Source organism: Homo sapiens, chromosome 14 (genome assembly GCF_000001405.40).
Source record: "Homo sapiens chromosome 14, GRCh38.p14 Primary Assembly".
In the NCBI taxonomy this organism is placed as follows: Eukaryota; Metazoa; Chordata; class Mammalia; order Primates; family Hominidae; genus Homo; species Homo sapiens.
The window spans coordinates 103,094,168-103,112,676 of NC_000014.9; the positions used below are offsets into that span (position 1 = coordinate 103,094,168).

The following is an 18,509-nucleotide window of genomic DNA, read 5'->3' on the forward strand; positions in this document are numbered from 1 at the left end:
CTTCTCACTTCTGAGTGTGTCCTGTCTGTCCCTAGGGCCCCATCCCTTTCTCTAGCTCCTGAAGCCCCCAGGAATGGCATGTGGCTCTCAACTGCTGCCTTTGCTGTCACCGTGAGCTTCCCTGACAGGCAGGGTGCAGGGGTCTCGGGATGAACTCGATGGACTGGCCCAGTGCTAGAGCCTCTGTCCTGGAGGGAGGGGTCCTTCTGGGCTCCGGCACTGTGGGCTGAGTGTCCCCCGAGGCCAGCGCCTGCTTCCGCTGGCCTCTGAGCAAAGGAGAGGTTGGTGGTGTTTTGGGTGGCAGGCAGCGTCCACCCCCTGCTGCCTCGAGACCCTGAGTGCCGAGCTCCGCAGCCTTCCCCTCCCTTGTTCTCTGACCCTTGGACTGAGCCCTGAGCTGTCTGGAATGGAAAGCTGGAGTGACTGCCTCCGGAACGAAAAGGAAGTGGGAACTTCTCTGAAAGTGAAAGTATGGGGTCCTGGTGGAGGGTAGGGCTGTGGGTGGGGCCGGGTGGGCCTGGCAGGCGCTGACCATGGCTGGGAAGTCCCAGCTGTTGGTCACTCGCTCAGGCTGCTCTAGAGGCCCCATAGCCAGGGCCCGGCTCTGAGGGCCCCACGGGCCAGCTTCTCAGGGGGCTGTGTTCTTCCTGGGCCAAGGCTGCGTGCTCAGCAGGTATGTTCTGGGCAGGTGGAGCAGGAGGGCATGGGGTGCTGTGGGCGGGCTTGAGGACCATTCCGGCTCTGCGTGTGGCCTTCCAGGCCAAGGGCCTCACTCAGAGCCCAGGCCGACCAGGCCAGAGGGCCAGCGCAAATCACAGTGGACACACACACACCCGATACACAGGCAGACACACTCAGGTAGAAAGCACAGATAGACAGACACAGAAGACACCAAGATGGGCATGCAGGCACAGACACAGACTCAGAAGCACTGGCAGACCCTCTGGGGACACTCCAGGGCAGAGTCATGCACATACAGGGAGACACTCTCAGGCCAACACACAGATGTGCAAAACCGACGCCCAGAAAAGTGTGTATATGCCCGCGCGCTCAAGCTCAGGCATCAGATTCACTTTCCTGGTTTCCCCGGGAAAGTGCCGAGTACTAGCCATGGCTGGGGGCTGAGTCAGGCTCACTCCCTGCCTTGCGGGTCTCCTGGTCTCCAGGCTCTGTAACTGTCCCTCCGTCATGGCAGGTGTGCCCAGGGCTGGGATCAGGCCCACAGCAGGAGGTGCCGAACATGGTATGGGCTCAGCTGGTCCGGGAAGGCTTCTTGGGGGAGGAGCCATTTCTGCTGAGCCTTCAATGAGTTGACAACTGAAGAAGGAGGGGCTGAGGTCATTGTAGGCAGAGAGGATGGCCTGTGCAAAGGTGTGGAGGAGAGGTGGGTACTTCTGAGTGATCAGAGTGAGGGAATGAGTTGGGACTGAAGCCAGAGGGGTCATTAGGAGAGGCCTTGAATGCCAAGCTAAGGATGGAGCTGTGCTTCTTCCGAGGGCAGCAGCGGCTCAGGGGGCTTATGCTTTGTTGCTACTGTGAAGGGAAGTCTTTTAAGTGTCTCTTTCTAATAGGCTTTGCTAGGGTATAGGAAAGGTGTTGCTTGTATTTACATAATCAATGCACAAAATTTACTAAACCCTTTTATTAGCTCCAATAATTTTCAGCCTCAGATTTTCTAAGCCAACAATCATATCACCTATGAATAATGACAGTTTAATCTGCTCCTTCCCAGTGTTTACATCTCTTATTTATTTTTCTTTCCTTATTGCCTTAACTAGTTCTTCCAGCCAAATGTTGAGGAGTAAGAATGGTGAGAACAAACATCCTTGTCATTTTCCTTATTTGCAGGGGCTGGAAGGAAAAGGAAAGCTTGCAAGGAAAGCTTTCAAAGGAGGTTTATAGGGCCGGGCATGGTGGCTCACTCCTGTAATCCCAGCACTTTGGGAGGCTGAGGCAGGAGGATTATTTGAGGCCAGAAGTTTGAGACCAGCCTGGGCACACATAATGAGACCCCTGTCTCTACAAAAAATATAAAAATTAGCCAGGCATGGTGTTGCGCACCTGTAGTCCCAGCTACTTGGGACGCTTAGGTGGGAGGACTGCTTGAGTCCAGGAGTTTGAGGCTGTGGTGAGCTATGATCGCATCCCTGCACTCCAGCAGTGGGTGAAGTGACACAGCGAGACCTCGTCTCTAAAAACAATAAACAAAGGAGGTTGACGTTTTGGCAAGATTCTTTTTTTTTTTGCAATTGTAAGATTTAGTAGAGTGAAAACAGAGCTCCTATACAAAAGGAGGGGACCCAAAGAGGGTAGCTGTTGCCAGCTCAAATGCCTGGGTTTATATCCCGATCATTGTCCCTCCCACTGTGCTCTCAGGCGATAGATGATTGGCTATTTGTTTACCTCCTGTTTTTGCCTAATTAGCATTTCTGTGAGCTCTCTTTAATACCTGATTGGTCGGGTGTGAGCTAAGTTGCAAGCCCCATGTTTAAAGATGGATGCAGTCACCTTCCCAGCTAGGCTTAGGCATTCTTAGTCGGACTAGGAAATCCAGCTAGTTCTGTCTCAGTCCCCCCTCTCAACAGGAAAACCCAAGTGCTGTTGGGGAGGTTGGCCAACGACCGTCTAAGTGCTAGGCAAGATTCTTATGACTGATCCGAGGAGGCAGCATTGAGGGGGCCTGGGAAGGAGAGCAGCTCGGAGGCTGTGATCAGGTGAAGGTGGATGGCAGGTGGGGAAGTGAGAGGGGACAAGCCCCGCACAGGGCTTCGGCCCAGGGCACAGTACAGGCAGTCACCTGCAAGAGGCTCCTTTGGAGCGTTGAGGAGTGGAGCGATGGTCCAGTCCCAGCGTAGTTGGGGAGGCTGGGGAGTGGGTGAGCACTGCAGAGTGATTGGGAGGATGAGGAGCAGCTACGGGAGGGAAGGTCTAGGGGAAAGCGGGGAGTAGAAGCTGAGGCTGGGGGTAGGGAGGGTGGGGAAGTTCGGACTTGACTTCTCGGACACAGCTAGGGTGGCCCAGGGTGGGAGCTCTCAGTGACTGTGTCTCTGGGTGGTTTCTTGCCCCTGCTGCTGGCCCCACAAAGGGTGTATTAGCCTGACCTGGGGAGAGTGGGACCCGGGGCTCAGGCCGGGCGTCAGTCTCTGGGGCCTTGCAATCAGGGAGCGGCAGCATAGGAGCCGGGGCCCCCTGGACTCTCCGGGCACTGGGGACAGAGAGACGCAGAGAGAAAAGAGAGCCAGAGAGAGTCCATGGGGGTGTGGGGAGGCAGGCACAGGGACAGGCCAGGCGAGAGCCTTGGGAGGTGGAGGGGGGAGTTGAGAGGGGCCTTCAGGTCTCAGCCCCGCAGGCGCCAGCATGGCAGCAGGCAGGCCAGCCGGGGGTGGCAGGGCGACCCTGATACCGATGTTCCGCCTGCTTCCAGGCTGTGCTCAGGGGTGACCGGGGTAGATGGACAGAGGCTGCCAGCCCAGTGCAGGAGGGCCACATCATCACAGGGACAGTGCCGAGTACCCACTGAGCAGATAGATGGTGACGGCCGGTGGTGCAAGGCATCTGAACCCCGAGGTCCTGAAACCCAAGTCAGGTTTGGAGAACAAACAGGGGCCAGGAAAGGGAATGGCCGGAGGGGAAGCTGGAGGCTGGGCGTGCAGCCGGGAGGACAGAGAAGAAGCTGGGTGGGGTGCAGGTTGTCCGTGAACCCCAGGGGAAGCTGGTGAGGTGTCATCAGCGGGAGGTGGGGGGTGGAGGAAGGAGGTTCCAGGATGGATGCCCGGCTGTGGGGCTCGGGCAGGAGGGAACCATGGAAGGGCTTAAAGCAGGGGAGTGACCTGGCTGGACTTTTGCTTTGGGAAGGTCGAGAATAGCTTGGGAAGCTGTTGGGAGCTGCAGGGTCGAAGGTGGCATGGCTGGAGGCTGAGGGGCCATCTGGGGACCTCACTGGCCCTTCAGCGAAGTTCTGGTTTGGGACAAAAGCAGGCTGAGTGACCCCCAAGCCTCTGCCTATGTAACCTCCTAAGAGATTCACCGCACAGCTGCCCCTCCTTACCCGGCGCTCGTCTGGGCTTCCTGGGAGAGAACCTCCACATCTGACCCCACTCTGGGACCTGCTGACACCTTGGGTCTCTCCGCCGGGAGGGGAGCTTCTGGGCGGCAGTTCTGAGTCCCTGGGGGTGGAGACGTGGCAGGTCCCGCCTCTGCTCCCAGCTCCAAGCAGGCTCCCCAGCCTGAGTGCGCGGCCAGGGGCAGACTCTGTCCCTCTGTGAGCCTCAGGTTCCTCATCTGTGAAATGGGCAAATGACAACCCCTAACTTTGATGTCACAGTAGCTGATCTGTGTCAGGCATCGAGCTGGGCACACAGTAGGTGCTTACTAAGTGTGAGTTCTCCCAAACAAGAAGGCGGGGCCTGGCTTGTCCTTCCCCACATCCCCGCCTCCGTCCTCTTGACAGCGGTGGATGCAGCATGTGCTGAACCGTTCTCTTCACAACACCCCTGCCCTGCTGGGCGCCGGCCCCCATGCCAAGCATGAAGGGGCACCGGGGAGAGAGAAGCGAGTGGAGGCTGGGACAGATGGTGCCCTGAAGTGTGGGTCAAGTCCGAATCAGGCAGGGTCCCTGAACCCTGGCGCTGGGGGAAGTCGCCGACCTGTGGCCAGGGCGGGGCTGATAAAGCTCCATCAATCACTTGACTGTCTCTCCTTCCTCGGGCCTCCATCCAGCTGCTTAGCCGCCTCTGGGAACCTCAAGGAAGGTAGGTAGGCTGCAGCTGGGCCCAGCAGGCACCTTGCTGGAGGGCGAGGGTGGGTGGGGGTCTGGGCCCTGCCCACTTTGGTGTCATTCCACCGCAGCAAACTGGGGCCTGGGGAGGCACACTTCCTGCCCGATGTCACCCAAGGGTTGGGTGGTGGGTCAGGCGGGTGCTTTGGTCCTGGCACCTGGGTGGGGGGCCCTGGGGCTGGGCTAGGGGCAGGTCCAGCCCTTCTTTGGCCCCAGTTTCTCCCAGAGGAAAGTGAGGTTTTGCTGGCCTAATGCCCTCCCCCACCCATGGCCCAGCTTGTGCAATGGGGTGGGTGGGAGGCCCCTCCCCTCTCCCAACCTAAAGCCAGGAAAGCAAACACAGCTCCTAACGCTGGAAGGGGGTGTGGGTGGAGCCTGGCAGGCCACGGTGCCGAGGGCCCTGGGGGAGCAGGAGCAGCCGCAGCTCAGCCACCCCCATGTCCCTGGGACACCCCCTCCATTCCCTGTGTTGGGGAGGGGCCAGAGCATGCTATGGTGGAGAGGGAGAGGAGTGGGGGGAGGAGGAGAGGCAATGGGTGGGAAACAGCATTGAGAACCCCCCCAGTCCCTGGTTAAATATAGACCCGAGGCTCCTCCTTCTGCCGCCCCTGTGGCTGCATGGCCATGATAAGCCGCAGGGTGGCCTTGGCCACTGCCCTCAGGCCCCACACCTCCTCGGCGGGCTCTGTGACACCCAGGGAAGGGGGTGGGCTCCCATGGGGGTCCCTGCCCTCCCCGTTGAGCCAAAGTAGTCAGGCCTTTTGGGCTGAAGGCGGGTGAGCTGAGGGACCTGGAGGGCAGTGAAGGAGCTGGTGGGGGCTGGGGGGAGGGTTTTAGGCCTCAGGACCTAACATCTGGGAAGGCCTAGATGTGGCTGCTGGTCCTGCCCTCGGGTGTTGTGAGCTGTGGTCTGGACTGGGCCCCAGAACTGCATGTCAGTGCCCTCCTCCAATTCTAATGGGAGGGTCTGGCCTGGCAGAGGCCGAGTGACGGTGGGCACCTGCGGAGACCCTTTTTGGGGGATGGTCTCAGGAAAGGCTCCTGATGGAAGCAGCTGTCTATATCTCCGTGCCCAGCTGCGGCCTGGCACACTGAGGGCTCTCGCCAAGAGAGTGGCCTGGTGATGCTTCCTTTTGACAGCCTGAGGGCTGCCTCCTCTGGAGAGCCTTCCTTGACCAAGCCCCTGGGTGTGGCCAGGCCCCACAGGGCCACAACAGGTTTCTGCATCTGCTCCTATGGCCACTCCTTCTTGCCCCCAGCTCTCCTGCTGCCAAGATGCCATCACCACAGACAGACACTCCTGGGCCGGAGCTGCAGAGTCCCAAGGAGGCTGAGGAGCCACAGACTCCAGCTCAGGGCTCCCGGCGAACAAGCAGCAGGAAAGAGCCCAATGCCCACCGCAAGGATGGCACAAGGCTGGGCCTGGGCTCCCTGAGGCAGGCCTTCTCCCGGGCCAGCCAGCGGGCTTTGACCCAGGTCTCCAAGGAAGATACGGGCCTGTTCCGGCGAAGCTCCTGCTCCCTGTTCCGGTCCTTCCGGCAAGCCCTGAATGACGGCCCAGCTACCGGCCATTCCCAGGCCACTCCTGAGGTGCCCTCGGGGGTCATGAATGGTGTCAGCCAGCAGGCATCCACTGGGGCAGCGTCTGAGGAACTGAAACCCGAGGCAGGTAAGGGCCTCAGAAACAACACGAAGCATGAAAGGAAACGGGCCAGAGGTCAGGGCAGCTCAGCTGAGGTTTCCGGAAAGGCTGTCCTCCCTAGCTCCCCAAACCCTGCCCCCGAACATGTGCAATTCTTTATTTATTTGAGACAGGGTCTCCACTCTGTCACCCAGGCTGGCATGCAGTGGTGCAATCACAGCTCACTGCGACCTTGGCCTCCTGGGCTCAAGCGATCCTCCCACCTCAACTTTCTGAGTAGCTGGGACTACAGGTGTAAGCCACTGCACCCGGCTAATTTTTTTTTTTTTTTTTTGACACTGACTCTCACTCTATCACCCAGGCTGGAGTGCAGTGACGCAATCTTGGCTCACTGCAACCTCCACCTCCCAGGTTCAAGTGATTCTTCTGCCTCAGGCCCCCAAGTCACTAGGACTACAGGTGCGTGCCAACACACCTGGTTAATTTTTTTTTTTGCATTTTTAGTAAGACGGGGTTTCACCATATTGGCCAGCCTGGTCTTGAGCTCCTGACCTCGCGATCCGCCCCCTCAGCCTCCCAAAGTGCTGGGATTACAGGCGTGAACCACTGTGCCTGGCCTAATTTTTTAAATTTGTTTTTATTTTTTTGTAGAGATATGGTCTTGCTATGTTGCCCAGGCTGGTCTCAAACTCCTGAGCTCACCCAATCCTCCTGCCTTGGCTTCCTGAAGTGCTGGGATTACAGGCGTGAGCCACCATGCCCAGCTGGACAATTGCACTTTAAATTCTTGCAGCATCTCTGCAATGGGAGCCCCCCCATTGGGCAGATAAGAAAAGTGAGGCTCAGAGAGGTGGAGTGACTTGCCTCAAGTCTCACAGCGTGGAGAATGGGACCTGAACCCAGATATGCATGGCCCTAGATCCCCACCTCTCCATGGCCTTTCACAGCCTGGCTCCTGGTCAAACTAGGGCCATGCACACAGCTGATCACAGGGTTGCAGAGGGTGCAAGGCTCGCAGAGGTACCAGGAGGGGAGGTCAGGGGGATTGCCCAGAGGAGGATACACTGGGGTGGGAAGAGGGGGACATGGAGGTGGAGAGCTCTTGTCGGGTGGAGGCTGGCGGAGAGTGGGGAGCAGCAGGAATGTAAAGCTGGACACGGGCAGGACACGCCCTGCCTGAGCTCCGACCCTATTAGACCTGCAATCAGGGCTGAGCATGAGGCTATCAGGTCCGGCTCAGCCGGGAGTGGAAGGTGGGTGTGGGATCCAGGCGGAAGGTAGGGGTTGACCCAAATTGCTCTGTTCAGCCAGGCTTGGGGCCCCAGGTTCTGCCTCTTCAAAGGTGACTCTAAGGGAGGGCTCCTGGCAGCTGGGGCCTGTTGTTCCTGGAGCAGGCCTTCAGCTGTGCTGGGGCATCTGGCAGAGGACAGACAATCCAGCCCCGATGGATTGAGCCGTGGCCTGCAGGTCTTCGTCCAGGTTCGGGTCTTGGGGCGGTCCCTCTCACCGCCCTTCTCGCCCGCCTGTGCAGAAGGCAAATCCGTGGCCGACCTCATTACTGAACGGCAACTGCTGGCGGCCTTCGAACAGCTTCTGCGCCTGGAGACGCTGCTGGTGGCCGAGAAGGCCTCGCGCACCTTTGAGCAGGACCCTACGGCCTTCGCGCGGCGCGCTATGGACGTGTGCCTGCTTTACGACGGGCTGGCAGCCGAGATCGGCGCCATCGTGCGCGAGACGCTGGACAGCGACGGTGTGGACGCGGCCGCGCTGGCCGAGCTGGCCCGCGTGGTGAGCGCGGAGGAGGAAGCCCACCCTTCTCCCCCCGACGACGGCGACTTCCTGCGCACGCCGCGCCGCTGGCGCCAGCACTGGGAGGAGGCGGTGCGGCGAAGCGCTCAGGAGCGCGTGCGGCGGCCGGGCGCGGGGTGGGCCTTCGGGGAGGCGGAGGGCGCGTCGGGTTTGGCCCAGCTTCTGGCCGAGCTGGGTGGCTTGGTTCGCCGCGACCTGCAGAAGGTGCGGCAGGAGGTGCAGCCCGCGTATGCGGCGGCCGGCTTCCCAGCGTGGGAGGTCTATCTGCGTGCCTTCCACAGCGCCGTGGCCCAGCGCCTCCAGGAGCTCGCGCGCGACGCCCGCGGCTGCGAGCAGCTCTATATCCTGCTGGACTGGGCCGCCAACGTCTACGGCAGGTGAGTCTCGGCCAGGGCGCCCAGTGGCGAGGACAGCTGCCGCTTCCTCCGCAGGCCTTGGGGAGCCGGCTTTGAGGAGCACCGGACCTTTCTTCTCTGTTCCCTCCCTGGGAGAGGGCTGAGAGCCGAGGGCTTCGACATGCTTTCCTCGGCGGGTTAGGCCGTGGGGCGCTCCCGCCCCAGGTTTTCTAGGGGTCACCCATACACAGTTCCAGAATTTGAAAAGTTTCCGCGGGGAGGTTCCCATGGGAGCAGGGCCTGTGCTGGTTCCACCAGGTGCCTTTGGGCGCATCAGAAAAGGGCACATCTTGGCCAGGCGCCATGGCTCACGCCTGTAATCCCAGCATTTTGGGAGGCTGAGGCGGCCGATCACCTGAGGTCAGGAGTTCGAAATCAGCCTGGCCAACACGGTGAAACCCCGTCTCTACAAAAATTAGCCGGGCATGGTGGCACGCACCTGTAATCTCAGCTATTCCGGAGGCTGAGGTAGGAGAATCGCTTGAACCCGGGAGGCGGAGGTTGCAGTGAGCCGAGGTCGCGCTATTGCACTCCAGCATGGGCGACAGAGCAAGACTCTGTCTCAAAAAAAAAAAAAAAAAGAAAGAAAGAAAGAAAAGAAAAAAGAAAAGGGCACCCCGTTAGGCCAGACGGGCATCTGGGTTCAGGGTACAGCCTGCGGGGAGCGGCCACCTCCCGCTCTCTGCCTGGGATGAGGATGGATTGCCTTCCCCGCGGAGCGGTTCCCAGCCCCACCGGCAGGAGCGCCCACGGAGGTGGGGGAGGTTGCCTGAAGTCCCGCACTCCTTAAATTGCTCCTTAAATTGTGTGGGGTCAGACCCGTGTCCGCCCTGCTGTGGGCCTCCGTGCTGCGGGTTGGAGGGTGGCCGATTCCTGAGCTGTGTTTGAGGAGAGGGCGGAGTGCCATCTGGGTAGCCGTCCTTCAGCGTTCTGCAGGAAGGCAGGAACCCAGCTGTCAGAGGCTTCCCGGGAGGGGGTGTGGCATGGCAGCCTAGAGGCGCGCGCGCGTGTGTGTGTGTGTGTGTGTGTGTGTGTGTGTACAGATGCCCAGGTTCGGGATTGGCGTTAGACTTTGAGCCTGGCCAGAAGAGGGGCAGCGGCTGCCGCATCAGAGCCGCTCCCGCCCCCAGCCCCCTGCCCTGTCTTCCAGTCCTGACTTCCTGGGCGCCCCGGGGCTGGCGCTGCCCGCCGAGCCGCTGCCTCCGCTCCTGGCGCCGGACGTGTGGGCCCGACTGGAGAGCGACTACACCAGCTTCCTGGAGGTCAGGCCGGGCGGGTCAGGCTGGGCGGGCCAGGCTGGAGGGGGCGGGCCCTGGGGGGATGTGCGGCGCCCAGGCTATCGGCGGCCAGAGCTGGCTCTGGTTCACCCTGTGGCCCCCGGCGCGGGCTTGTGACCCGACAGGGCGGCCCTCATCCCGGACGGCGCGGGACGGGGTCTGGGAGGGTCTCACCACGGCCCATCCCTTCTCCCCCCAGGCCAAGATCGCAAGCTGCTTCGACAGCATCTTGCAGCTGGAGCAGAGTCACTGGGCGGCCGCCGAGGTCCCCGAGGTGCTGCAGGGCCTCTACCAGGCGCCGCTGTCCATGGACGTCCATATGGTGCGGCCCGGGAGCAGGGGCTGAGAAGGGGCGTCTGTTCAAGCCTCACGCACACGGTGGCGATTTCCAGAACGAATTCCTATCCAGTCCCAACCAACCCTTCCGTTAGATGGGAGCCTGAGGCCCCACGCGGGGGGAAATCGGGGACCCCCGGCGCGCCGACGGGCAGGGAGGCTGCTGGATGGGAGTTTGCGGGAGTTGACTCTCCAGTTGGGCGGCTGAAAGCTGGAGGGGCCAAGACTGACAGGCACAGCGGGGCGGGCTGGAGGCGCAGCGGGGGCTACCAGGGGACCCGCGGCCTCAGGTCGGGGGCTGGGAGGCACGCTCAGTGCGGGGCTTCGCTCGCAGCTCGTGGCCGAGCACGTGAAGGCGGCCGGCGCCATCTCCGCGGAGCTGGAGGCCACCACCCTGCGAATCTGCACGCGGGCGCTCGGCCTCTTCGTGCCCAGGTGCGGACGCATCCTCAGTAGGGGAGCGACCTGGCCGGGTGCGCTCTGCAGGTGGGAGGGAGGAGTCTGCGTAGGGACCTGATTGGGAGGGTGGACCCAGGGTCATCGCGCAGCTAGGGAGGGTCCCCAAAGGCTCTGTGTATCCCGCCCCAGGTTTGAAAAGGCTTTTCTGGCGTCGGAGGCGGTGAGCGAGCCGCACCTGGGCGCCTACATCAACGCCTGCGAGGAGCTCAGGTAGGGCTCGCCCGCTCCTGTGCGGGCGCAGCGTGGCCAGCAGGGGGCGCGCGAGCGCCGGGAACCTGGATGGAGGGGAGTGCGCGCGCGTGGAGGGGGCAGAGGTGAGGAGTGTGTGTGTGTGTTTGTGTCTGTGTGTTGGTGGATCTGAGGGGTGTGTGTGCGTGTGTGTGTAGCAGAGTTGGGGGGTGTGTGTGCGTGTGTGATGGAGCTGAGGGTGTGTGCCTGTGTGTGCATGCGTGGAGAGCTGAGGCTGTGTGTGTGCGTGTTTGGCAGAGCTGAGGGCTGTGTGTGTGTGTGTGTGTGTGTGTTGGAGCTAAGAGGTGTTTATGCATGTGCGTGTAGGGGTGGAGCTGAGTGGTGTGTGTGTGTCAGAGCCTAGATGCGTGTGTCTTGTGTGTGTGTGTCCATCCGAGCAGGGGCCCTGGGGGAGTGTGGATGGCTCTTCAAGGCTGAGCAGAGGCCGAGGGGTTCCAGCTCCCTGCCTGCTGCCCTGGGCTCCATTTTTCCCTCCCTTCATCCCAGGCAGCATTTCTTCCATCTTGGGACACCTCCTTCTCTGGGAAGCCTCCCTCAGCCTGCACCCTGGGCTTTGCTGGGGTGAGGTCTGGGTCTCTGTGTCCCCAGAAGGCAGACGCCCTCCCTGTGGGCTGGCAGTAGCTGTTGGCCTTCCGTGCCCTCAGCTCCAGGCCAGGCCTCAGCAGATGCGGCAGCGCCAGAGGCACAGACTGAGCCTCCCCATCTGGGTTTATCCTTTTTTAAAAGTGTGTAAATTTTAGTGTCCCGAAGTACTTCTCATTTGTCTGACTTCAAAGAACAGCTGTGCCACCTGCTGGCTGTGTGCTCCGGGACAAGCCACCTCCCCTCTGTGGCTCTTTTGCCACCTGTCAAATAGGATCAGAGCACCTGCTCCCTGGGGTGGTGTGGGACCTCTGTGCCTCAGGGGACTCAGTTCCCATTGGCTCTTTGTGAGCACTTCTCAGTGCCAGGCACTTTGTGGGTGCCTTCCCTGCCTGACACGTCTCATCCCAAGCGCAGTATACCCACGCACAGGTGCAGAGCACAGGCCTGGAAAGGAGGTGCCACTTGCCCGTGGCCACGTAGCCAGGAAGTGGTGGAGCTGGGACTTGAACTAGGCCTGCCTAAATCCAAAGCATGACCATCAGGCACTGCTTCTCCAACACTCTCGTCCTTAATCTGTGCCAGGCTTGTCCTTGGTGCTGGGACCCTGGGGTTTCAGCTCCAGGGAGCGTTCTCTGCCCCTTGGTAGGCAGCCTCTGGCCAAACCCTTGATGGAACTCCAGCCTGCTCTACTGTGTCCCTGGCTGCGGGGACTGCGTATAGCCTGGCCCTCAGTTTCCTCAACAGTGAAATAGGGACATGGTCACCTTCAGGGGGCAGTTATAAGGCTCAGGGTAGGGTATGTTCCAGGCATGGCTATGCCGCACTGTTTATCACCAAGAGGGATGGAAGGTCTGTCCCAGAGCTGCCAGAGGGGAACGGGTCAGCCACCCCTGACCCACCCCTTTGTGACTGGCTCCCTGGGCTTCTGTGCTGTCCCCCACTTGACTCTGCTCGCAGACAGCTACAATGGGGAGCCCCACGGGCTGCCCTTCACATTGTAGTCTAAGTGAGTGGAGCTGTGTGCCCGGCTCTATTCCCCAGCCTGGTCTCCCTTGCCCACCTCATCGCTGGTCCTGGCCCCTCCCCAGGACCAGTCTTCTCTCCAGGTTCCCAGGAACCCAAGAGGAGCTGGAGAAGCCCCTGGTGACGGCCACCTGCAGCTTCCAGAAGCACTTGCTTCAGGGCTTGCAGCGTGAGTTGCAGGTGACTGTGATAGGCCCTCTCTCCCTACTTCCCATGCCCAGCAGGCACCCCCTATTTCCTAGAGCCTGGGGGCCCAGGTCACAGCATTCATTTATTCCAGGGTGAGCTCATGGGTGTGTGTGTAGGGTAGTGGGCAGGGGACCCAGGTGAGGTCCCAGCTGAGCAGGGGCGGCTGGGAGACGCCTGCCTTCTCACTTCAGTCTCCAGCTCTTAGTGGTCACCCCCGAAGCCTGGGATGGTGGGTCCACGGATCCAGGCCCAGGGTCCTCACCCAGTCCCTCAAGGCTTCTCCAGGGCATGCCCTGAGCAGATCTGACTGCACAGACTCAAACCCTGCCCCTAGAGCTTGGGGCCTGGGAGAGGCATTCTGGGAAAGGGCTCGTGACATAACCTGTGGCTAGGAGAGGGAATGGCACCCCAAACCCAGGAGGGAAGGGGTCAGGAGTGGCACACTGGGCTTCGAGGGAGGGGTTACGTTGCGGGCGTAGTGCACATTTGCAGACTCCCAGCCCCTCTGTCCCCAGCCGCTCTTCAGGGTTGTGTGCACCAGGGACTGGCTGACGCAGGACTGGCTGCATCCCCTCATGGACAAGGTGGTGACCTTCGCCGGTCATCTCCAGCGTGTGGCCCGGCCGCGGGCACAGGTACCACAAGGGGGAGGGCCCTGGCAGGGCTGTGCCCAGGATTGGGGCTGTTGACCCTGACCCTGACCCTGACCCTGGGCCGCCCAGGAGACTCTGCAGGAGGTGCACCGGTTCGTGGTCCGCGAGTACCTGGCGCGGGCGCTGAGGCCACGGGAGCGGTTCCGGGGCATGGAGCGCATGCATGGCTCCCAGAAGATGAGCCTGGATGCCCAGGCCATCAGCGACACCTTCCAGGGCCTGGTAGGGGCGGCATGACTGCCCTTCGGTGCTCGCCTCTGTGTGGGGAGTGGTGGCAGTGACTAGGGCCTTAGCGCCGGGAGGGCTTTTGGCAGGAGTGGTTCTCCCCACTCTGGATCAGGTGGAACAGGGACTGGGGCGCCTGTGGGGCTGGGGGGTGGAGGGAACCAGGTGGGAGGGCGGCACTTTGCATACATTTGCATACAGTTTGCAGGGGTGCGGGGAAGGGGCGAGGGTCACAGCCCCATCTCACGGTCAGGGCCTTTGGGAGGTGTCCCCCACCTCAGGCCAGAGCCCTCAGAGTGGAGGCACCAGCGCCCCTGCACACCCCTCGTCTGCCCCCTAGCAGTGCTTTCAGGCTGGCCTCGGTTTTCCTGTCCAAGCAGGATGGGATCGGAGGGGAGATGAAGGCTGTGTAGCCAGCCCATGAGCCCTCGGTGCCCAGGCACGCTCCCGTTCTGTTTTGGGGGAGGCAGTCCCGGCACCGAGCCAGAGTGACTACAGGAGGGCTGACGCTGCGGGAGGGCTGACCTCGCACTGACCTCGCGCTCTTGCAGGAGTTGGAGCAGCGGTGGGGAGAGGGCTGTTGGGGCAGGCGGTGGCTCTGTCTCGCAGGGTTCCGAGGCCACATGGTTGGACCAAGCCATCCAGTGCGTGGCTGAGATCCTGGGCGAGACCTACAAAGATGACATCCAGCGGCACCTGGAGACTCTTATCCGGAGCTACCCCGACATCAGGTGTGTACCCCACCTGCTTCCACTAGCTTCCTACCAGAGCTTCAGGGCCAAGGGGGCTGGTATTGGAGCAACCCCAGCCCAGACCTGACTGCCCAGGGGCCTGAAGACCAGAGGCAGGAGGTAGGCCTTGGACCCTCAGACCCTCAAGGCTGGAGGGGGAATGGAGAGAGCCCCTTCTCCTAATCTGCTCTTGGCCATCCTCCATCAGCCCCACCAGGGGTGGGCACGCCTCCAGTCCTGGAATCTGAGGGGGAGGCGGACCCCCCACCCCTGGGGAGAAAGCCCTCTCTGAAAGCCAGGGGATTCTGAGACCTGGTCAGGAGGAAGGAGGTTTTGATCCCGGGTTGTGCTGGGGGGTCGGTGAGTCATCCAAGCCTTTGGAAATCCCAGCTCGAATCTCTCCAAGTCCATTCTTTTGGAGATTCTGGGATGTGGAGCTCACAGAAAGCCCCTGGTTCATCCCCTTCCCCAGGCCACCCTGCCATGGGGTGGGGAAGGATTCCCCATCCCCAGCAGGCCTGTCTTCCAGGCTGTGGCTCAGAGAGAGTGGCCCTTACATCACCCTGGGAGTTCCCCTCCAACTACTCCCCAACCCCGTTGGCCCCGTCACCCGCAGCTGCATCACCCCCTCCCTCCCTCTCCACCACCTGTCCCCCGGTCTCCCTCTCTCCCTCGCCACCCTGTCCCCATGTCTCCCTCCCTCCCTCCCTCTCCACCCTGTCCCCGTGTCTCCCTCCCTCCCTCCCTCTCCACCCTGTCCCCATGTCTCCCTCCCTCCCTCCCTCTCCACCCTGCCCCCATGTCTCCCTCCTCCCTCCCTCTCCACCCTGCCCCCATGTCTCCCTCCTCCCTCCCTCTCCACCCTGCCCCCATGTCTCCCTCCTCCCTCCCTCTCCACCCTGCCCCCATGTCTCCCTCCTCCCTCCCTCTCCACCCTGCCCCCATGTCTCCCTCCTCCCTCCCTCTCCACCCTGCCCCCATGTCTCCCTCCTCCCTCCCTCTCCACCCTGTCCCCATGTCTCCCTCCCTCCCTCCCTCTCCACCCTGCCCCCATGTCTCCCTCCTCCCTCCCTCTCCACCCTGCCCCCATGTCTCCCTCCTCCCTCCCTCTCCACCCTGCCCCCATGTCTCCCTCCTCCCTCCCTCTCCACCCTGCCCCCATGTCTCCCTCCCTCCCTCCCTCTCCACCCTGTCCCTGGGTCTCCCTCTCTCTCCAGCCTGGGTCTCTCCACCCGGTCCCCAGGTCTCCCTCCACGCCTTTGCGTGGGCTCTTTCCCACTCTGCACACCCCTCTCCTGTGCCCCTTCAAGCCCAGCTATGGTGTCCCCCAGGCCCACGCCCTGCCCCCTCCCCCAGCACAGCTCTTCCTGGCCTCAGTCAATCTGACCTCCCTGACCATCCTGGAATGCAGAGTGACTCATACTAACTCCCAAGCCCGTGGGTTCGCCTCATGCTGGGGCTGGGGGTGTTGCGGAGGTGTAGGTCTGCAGTGAGTGCCCGCATGTCTCTGCAGGCGGGACCACATACTGGCCATTCTGGCGCTGCGCCGACTGGGCCGCCAGCGGAACCAGCATCTCTTGCAGCACACTCAAGACCTGCTGAGAGCTGCGGCCGGGGCGGCGGGTGCGGAGGCCCCTCGGGGCCGCGTGCTCTTCGAGGAGATCAAGGTGCCCAGTGCCATGGCTGTGCTGATCACCTGCGTCTAGTTCTCTCTGGCTCGAGGGGGGGCCGGCCGCTGGCAGGGAGCTGTGGTCAGTGGGGGTCAGCCAGGAGCCCAGGGAGTCACTCTGGGCCCTGCCCCCAACTCTGACACTGCAGTTAGGGAATTTTTGTCGTCAGCAGCCAAGCGCAGCTGTCAGGCCAGAAGGAGCAGCCGTGCAGGAGGCATTTCAGGCATCGTTGAGGGGAGTGTTTTGGGGCCGCAGAGCTCTCAATGCTGCCTATCGGGCGGGGGGGGGCCTCCCGCCCGACTGTCCAGCTTCACCCTCCAGTCTGAAAGTGAAGAGCAGAGTATTTATTTAAAAAATAAATGTGAATTAAAATGGTGCCTCCCTAAGGAGTGGGCAGGGGATGGGAGACCTGGGTCCCGGTGTGCTGAAGGGCCAGGCCGGAGGCTGTCTGGTGACACTATTTGGTGGGTGGCCCTCTCATGCCTGTGGAAGCCACGGGAAGACTGAGGCAGGTCCAGAGCAGGGAAGGCCCATGCCTGTGGCTGCCCCCACCACGGCCCGGATCCACTGGCCTTGTGCCTGGTCAGCCTTGTCCCAGCCAAAGCAGACTCGGGGCTTCCTGGGAACAAAAAGAGGATAAGGCTGGTTCTGCAGCTTGAAGAATTTGGGTTAGATGTAGGAGGGACTTCTCAGCAGTGGAAGTTGTCAAGTTACTGCAGGGGGTGTGTCACCCATGGAGTGTGTGTCCGGGGGTGACCCTGAGGTGTCAGCAATGGAGGCAAGCGTAAGGAGACTGCTCCAGCGTGCACCTGCGTCCCCGCTTCTCTCTGCAAAGCTGCCGCTGAAATTTGGCGGCAGCTGCGGGCTGGGGTGCTGGGAAACCTATTTGCATTGGCAGCCGGGCTGGCTGGGGAGGCTGAAAGTTGAGATGGGGAGATTTCCAGAGAGCAGCTGAGACAGGTGGTGACAGGTGCCCCTCCCAGCCCTCCACAGTGGGCCCCCATAGTGTCTCTGGGCCTGACCCTGACCCTGGCGGGAGTGGGGGGCAGGTGACTGCAGGTGGGCCAAGGTTCCAAGAGCTCCACAAACTTGGGTCGCCTGAGGACAGGGTAAGGAGTCTGAAAGGCTGTGGTGCCAGGCAAGCAGGGGGCGTGTCTATCCCCACTCCCTCCAGGCCCCCTCCCTGCACTGTGGACAGTCAGGGGGCAGTTCCCCGGGCAGACCTGCCCCGGTTCCTATGCCAGGGCTGGGGCCTGGAGCCTGAGTCTTGCTGGGGCCTAGAGCCTGGGGGTTGAGTGCCTGGGGCTTGTCTGTCTCTTCTGGGAGCAAGTGCTGGGGCAGTGCCCTCCTCCATGGGGGCACCAGGGCTGGAGGTCAGGAGCAGGGCAGGCCAGGGCAAGGGAATATCCAGACCTCCCCTGGCAGGGTGGGGCAGGTGGGGCAGGAATGAGGAAGTGGGAGGGTTGGGGTTCCCCATCTCCAGGGCTGGGGTGGGGGCAGGTATGTGATGCTGGTGCCAATAAGCGGTCCCGTCCCTGATGGGAAAACAGGCTGGCAGATGCTCAGGATCCTCCCAGCCAGGGGCCAGAGGGGCATGTCTTTTCCCAGGGGAGGGGTCCAAGAGGGGGCAGGTGATTGACAGGTCAGCCTGTCCCCTGCTTGACCCCACCCCTGACCTGGTGGCCATGAGTGTCCCAGGCAGGGTGCATGGGAGGGGAGAAGGGAGGGCTTGGCCTGGTCTGGTCCTGGTCAGGTTCTCCCCAAGGAGCCCCTGCCACCCCCTTCCCCACCCTTCTGTCTCAAGCTCCTCACTGAGCCACTTGGCTGGAGCCAGAGGGTCCTGGGGCAGGGCTGTGGGGTTAAGGAGGGGGTTCCGTCCTGGCTCTGCCACTTCCCACCTGTGAGAATGCAGGCAGGTTCTTTTATCTCACTGCTTCATTTTTTTTCCAGCTGTGAAATGGGGGTGCTGTTAGTGCCTCCTCGGCTGGGGAGGGTGAAGTCAGAGCCAGCCATAAGGCCGGGGGCCTGGCCTCCCTGTGACCCCATGTTCCCAGAGGCCCACCTACGGGAAGGCCTTGGGCACCCTGGGGTTGGGGTGGTGGGGTGCTGAGGCTGGAGCAAAACCTGAGTTGAGTGGAGGTCACTGGGAGTGGGAGGCCCCAAGAGAGGCTGGGAAGAGGTGCTGAAGGCTGAGCGGCTTGTGGCAGAGGGAGGGGGCCCGGCTTAGACCCTGAGGGTTCCTAGGCCCGGAGACAGGAAGTCAGGGTTTTCCTGGCAGGAACTGTGTGCACATGTGCACCTGTATCTCCATGCCAGGAGGGTGTGTATGCCATGTGTGCAGATCCTCCTGAACCCAGCGGTGGCTGGGGCTGGGACTTCCCAGGCCAAGCCAGGCCGAGCTGGGGGTGGGATGGCAGCTCCTAGAGGATGCAGTCAGGGAGGCTGGGGGCAGAGGCGGGGCTGAGACCGGGGCACCCTGGGTGCCTCAG

At 61.8% G+C, this 18,509-nt stretch overlaps 1 protein-coding gene across 13 annotated transcripts, besides 9 other annotated features; it reads left to right on the forward strand.

Moving 5' to 3' along the window:
• On the forward strand, positions 7–16,392 carry EXOC3L4 (exocyst complex component 3 like 4). 13 transcript variants are annotated; one of them, XM_011537330.3, is made up of 14 exons: positions 558–673; positions 1,196–1,384; positions 4,720–4,751; positions 6,037–6,446; positions 7,951–8,605; positions 9,774–9,885; positions 10,100–10,222; positions 10,571–10,671; positions 10,825–10,905; positions 12,618–12,732; positions 13,257–13,376; positions 13,464–13,616; positions 14,229–14,350; positions 15,864–16,392. In XM_011537330.3, the coding sequence occupies exons 4-14, from the start codon at positions 6,053–6,055 to the stop codon at positions 16,054–16,056; spliced, it is 2,169 nt and encodes a 722-aa protein (XP_011535632.1). In that variant the 5' UTR covers positions 558–673; positions 1,196–1,384; positions 4,720–4,751; positions 6,037–6,052; the 3' UTR covers positions 16,057–16,392. The 13 variants fall into 13 exon arrangements, with proteins under 13 accessions (XP_011535635.1, XP_011535634.1, XP_011535632.1 ...); XM_011537333.3 differs by lacking the exons at positions 558–673; positions 1,196–1,384 and adding an exon at positions 7–469; NM_001394941.1 differs by lacking the exon at positions 1,196–1,384 and having other exon boundaries at positions 4,451–4,751.
• Positions 567–1,136: an enhancer, noted in NCBI's record as "H3K4me1 hESC enhancer chr14:103561071-103561640 (GRCh37/hg19 assembly coordinates)". NCBI's record gives its function as "activates a minimal SCP1, AML or CMV promoter by ChIP-STARR-seq in primed H9 embryonic stem cells {active_cell/tissue: H9 hESC(primed)}" and the evidence as "EXISTENCE:reporter gene assay evidence [ECO:0000049][PMID:30033119]".
• Positions 4,180–4,349: a silencer, noted in NCBI's record as "fragment chr14:103564684-103564853 (GRCh37/hg19 assembly coordinates)". NCBI's record gives its function as "represses an EF-1alpha promoter that drives an FKBP-Casp9 reporter gene in an ReSE screen in phorbol 12-myristate 13-acetate-treated (for megakaryocytic differentiation) K562 erythroleukemia cells {active_cell/tissue: K562(+PMA)}" and the evidence as "EXISTENCE:reporter gene assay evidence [ECO:0000049][PMID:32094911]".
• Positions 10,391–11,141: an enhancer, noted in NCBI's record as "H3K27ac-H3K4me1 hESC enhancer chr14:103570895-103571645 (GRCh37/hg19 assembly coordinates)". NCBI's record gives its function as "activates a minimal SCP1, AML or CMV promoter by ChIP-STARR-seq in naive H9 embryonic stem cells {active_cell/tissue: H9 hESC(naive)}" and the evidence as "EXISTENCE:reporter gene assay evidence [ECO:0000049][PMID:30033119]".
• Positions 10,391–11,175: a biological region, named in NCBI's record as "H3K27ac-H3K4me1 hESC enhancer GRCh37_chr14:103570895-103571645".
• Positions 11,016–11,175: a silencer, noted in NCBI's record as "silent region_6143". NCBI's record gives its function as "represses an Ori minimal core promoter by ATAC-STARR-seq in GM12878 lymphoblastoid cells {active_cell/tissue: GM12878}" and the evidence as "EXISTENCE:reporter gene assay evidence [ECO:0000049][PMID:35858748]".
• Positions 14,661–14,740: an enhancer, noted in NCBI's record as "active region_9095". NCBI's record gives its function as "activates an Ori minimal core promoter by ATAC-STARR-seq in GM12878 lymphoblastoid cells {active_cell/tissue: GM12878}" and the evidence as "EXISTENCE:reporter gene assay evidence [ECO:0000049][PMID:35858748]".
• Positions 14,911–14,970: a silencer, noted in NCBI's record as "silent region_6144". NCBI's record gives its function as "represses an Ori minimal core promoter by ATAC-STARR-seq in GM12878 lymphoblastoid cells {active_cell/tissue: GM12878}" and the evidence as "EXISTENCE:reporter gene assay evidence [ECO:0000049][PMID:35858748]".
• Positions 15,528–16,138: an enhancer, noted in NCBI's record as "H3K27ac-H3K4me1 hESC enhancer chr14:103576032-103576642 (GRCh37/hg19 assembly coordinates)". NCBI's record gives its function as "activates a minimal SCP1, AML or CMV promoter by ChIP-STARR-seq in naive H9 embryonic stem cells {active_cell/tissue: H9 hESC(naive)}" and the evidence as "EXISTENCE:reporter gene assay evidence [ECO:0000049][PMID:30033119]".
• Positions 16,139–16,749: an enhancer, noted in NCBI's record as "H3K27ac-H3K4me1 hESC enhancer chr14:103576643-103577253 (GRCh37/hg19 assembly coordinates)". NCBI's record gives its function as "activates a minimal SCP1, AML or CMV promoter by ChIP-STARR-seq in naive H9 embryonic stem cells {active_cell/tissue: H9 hESC(naive)}" and the evidence as "EXISTENCE:reporter gene assay evidence [ECO:0000049][PMID:30033119]".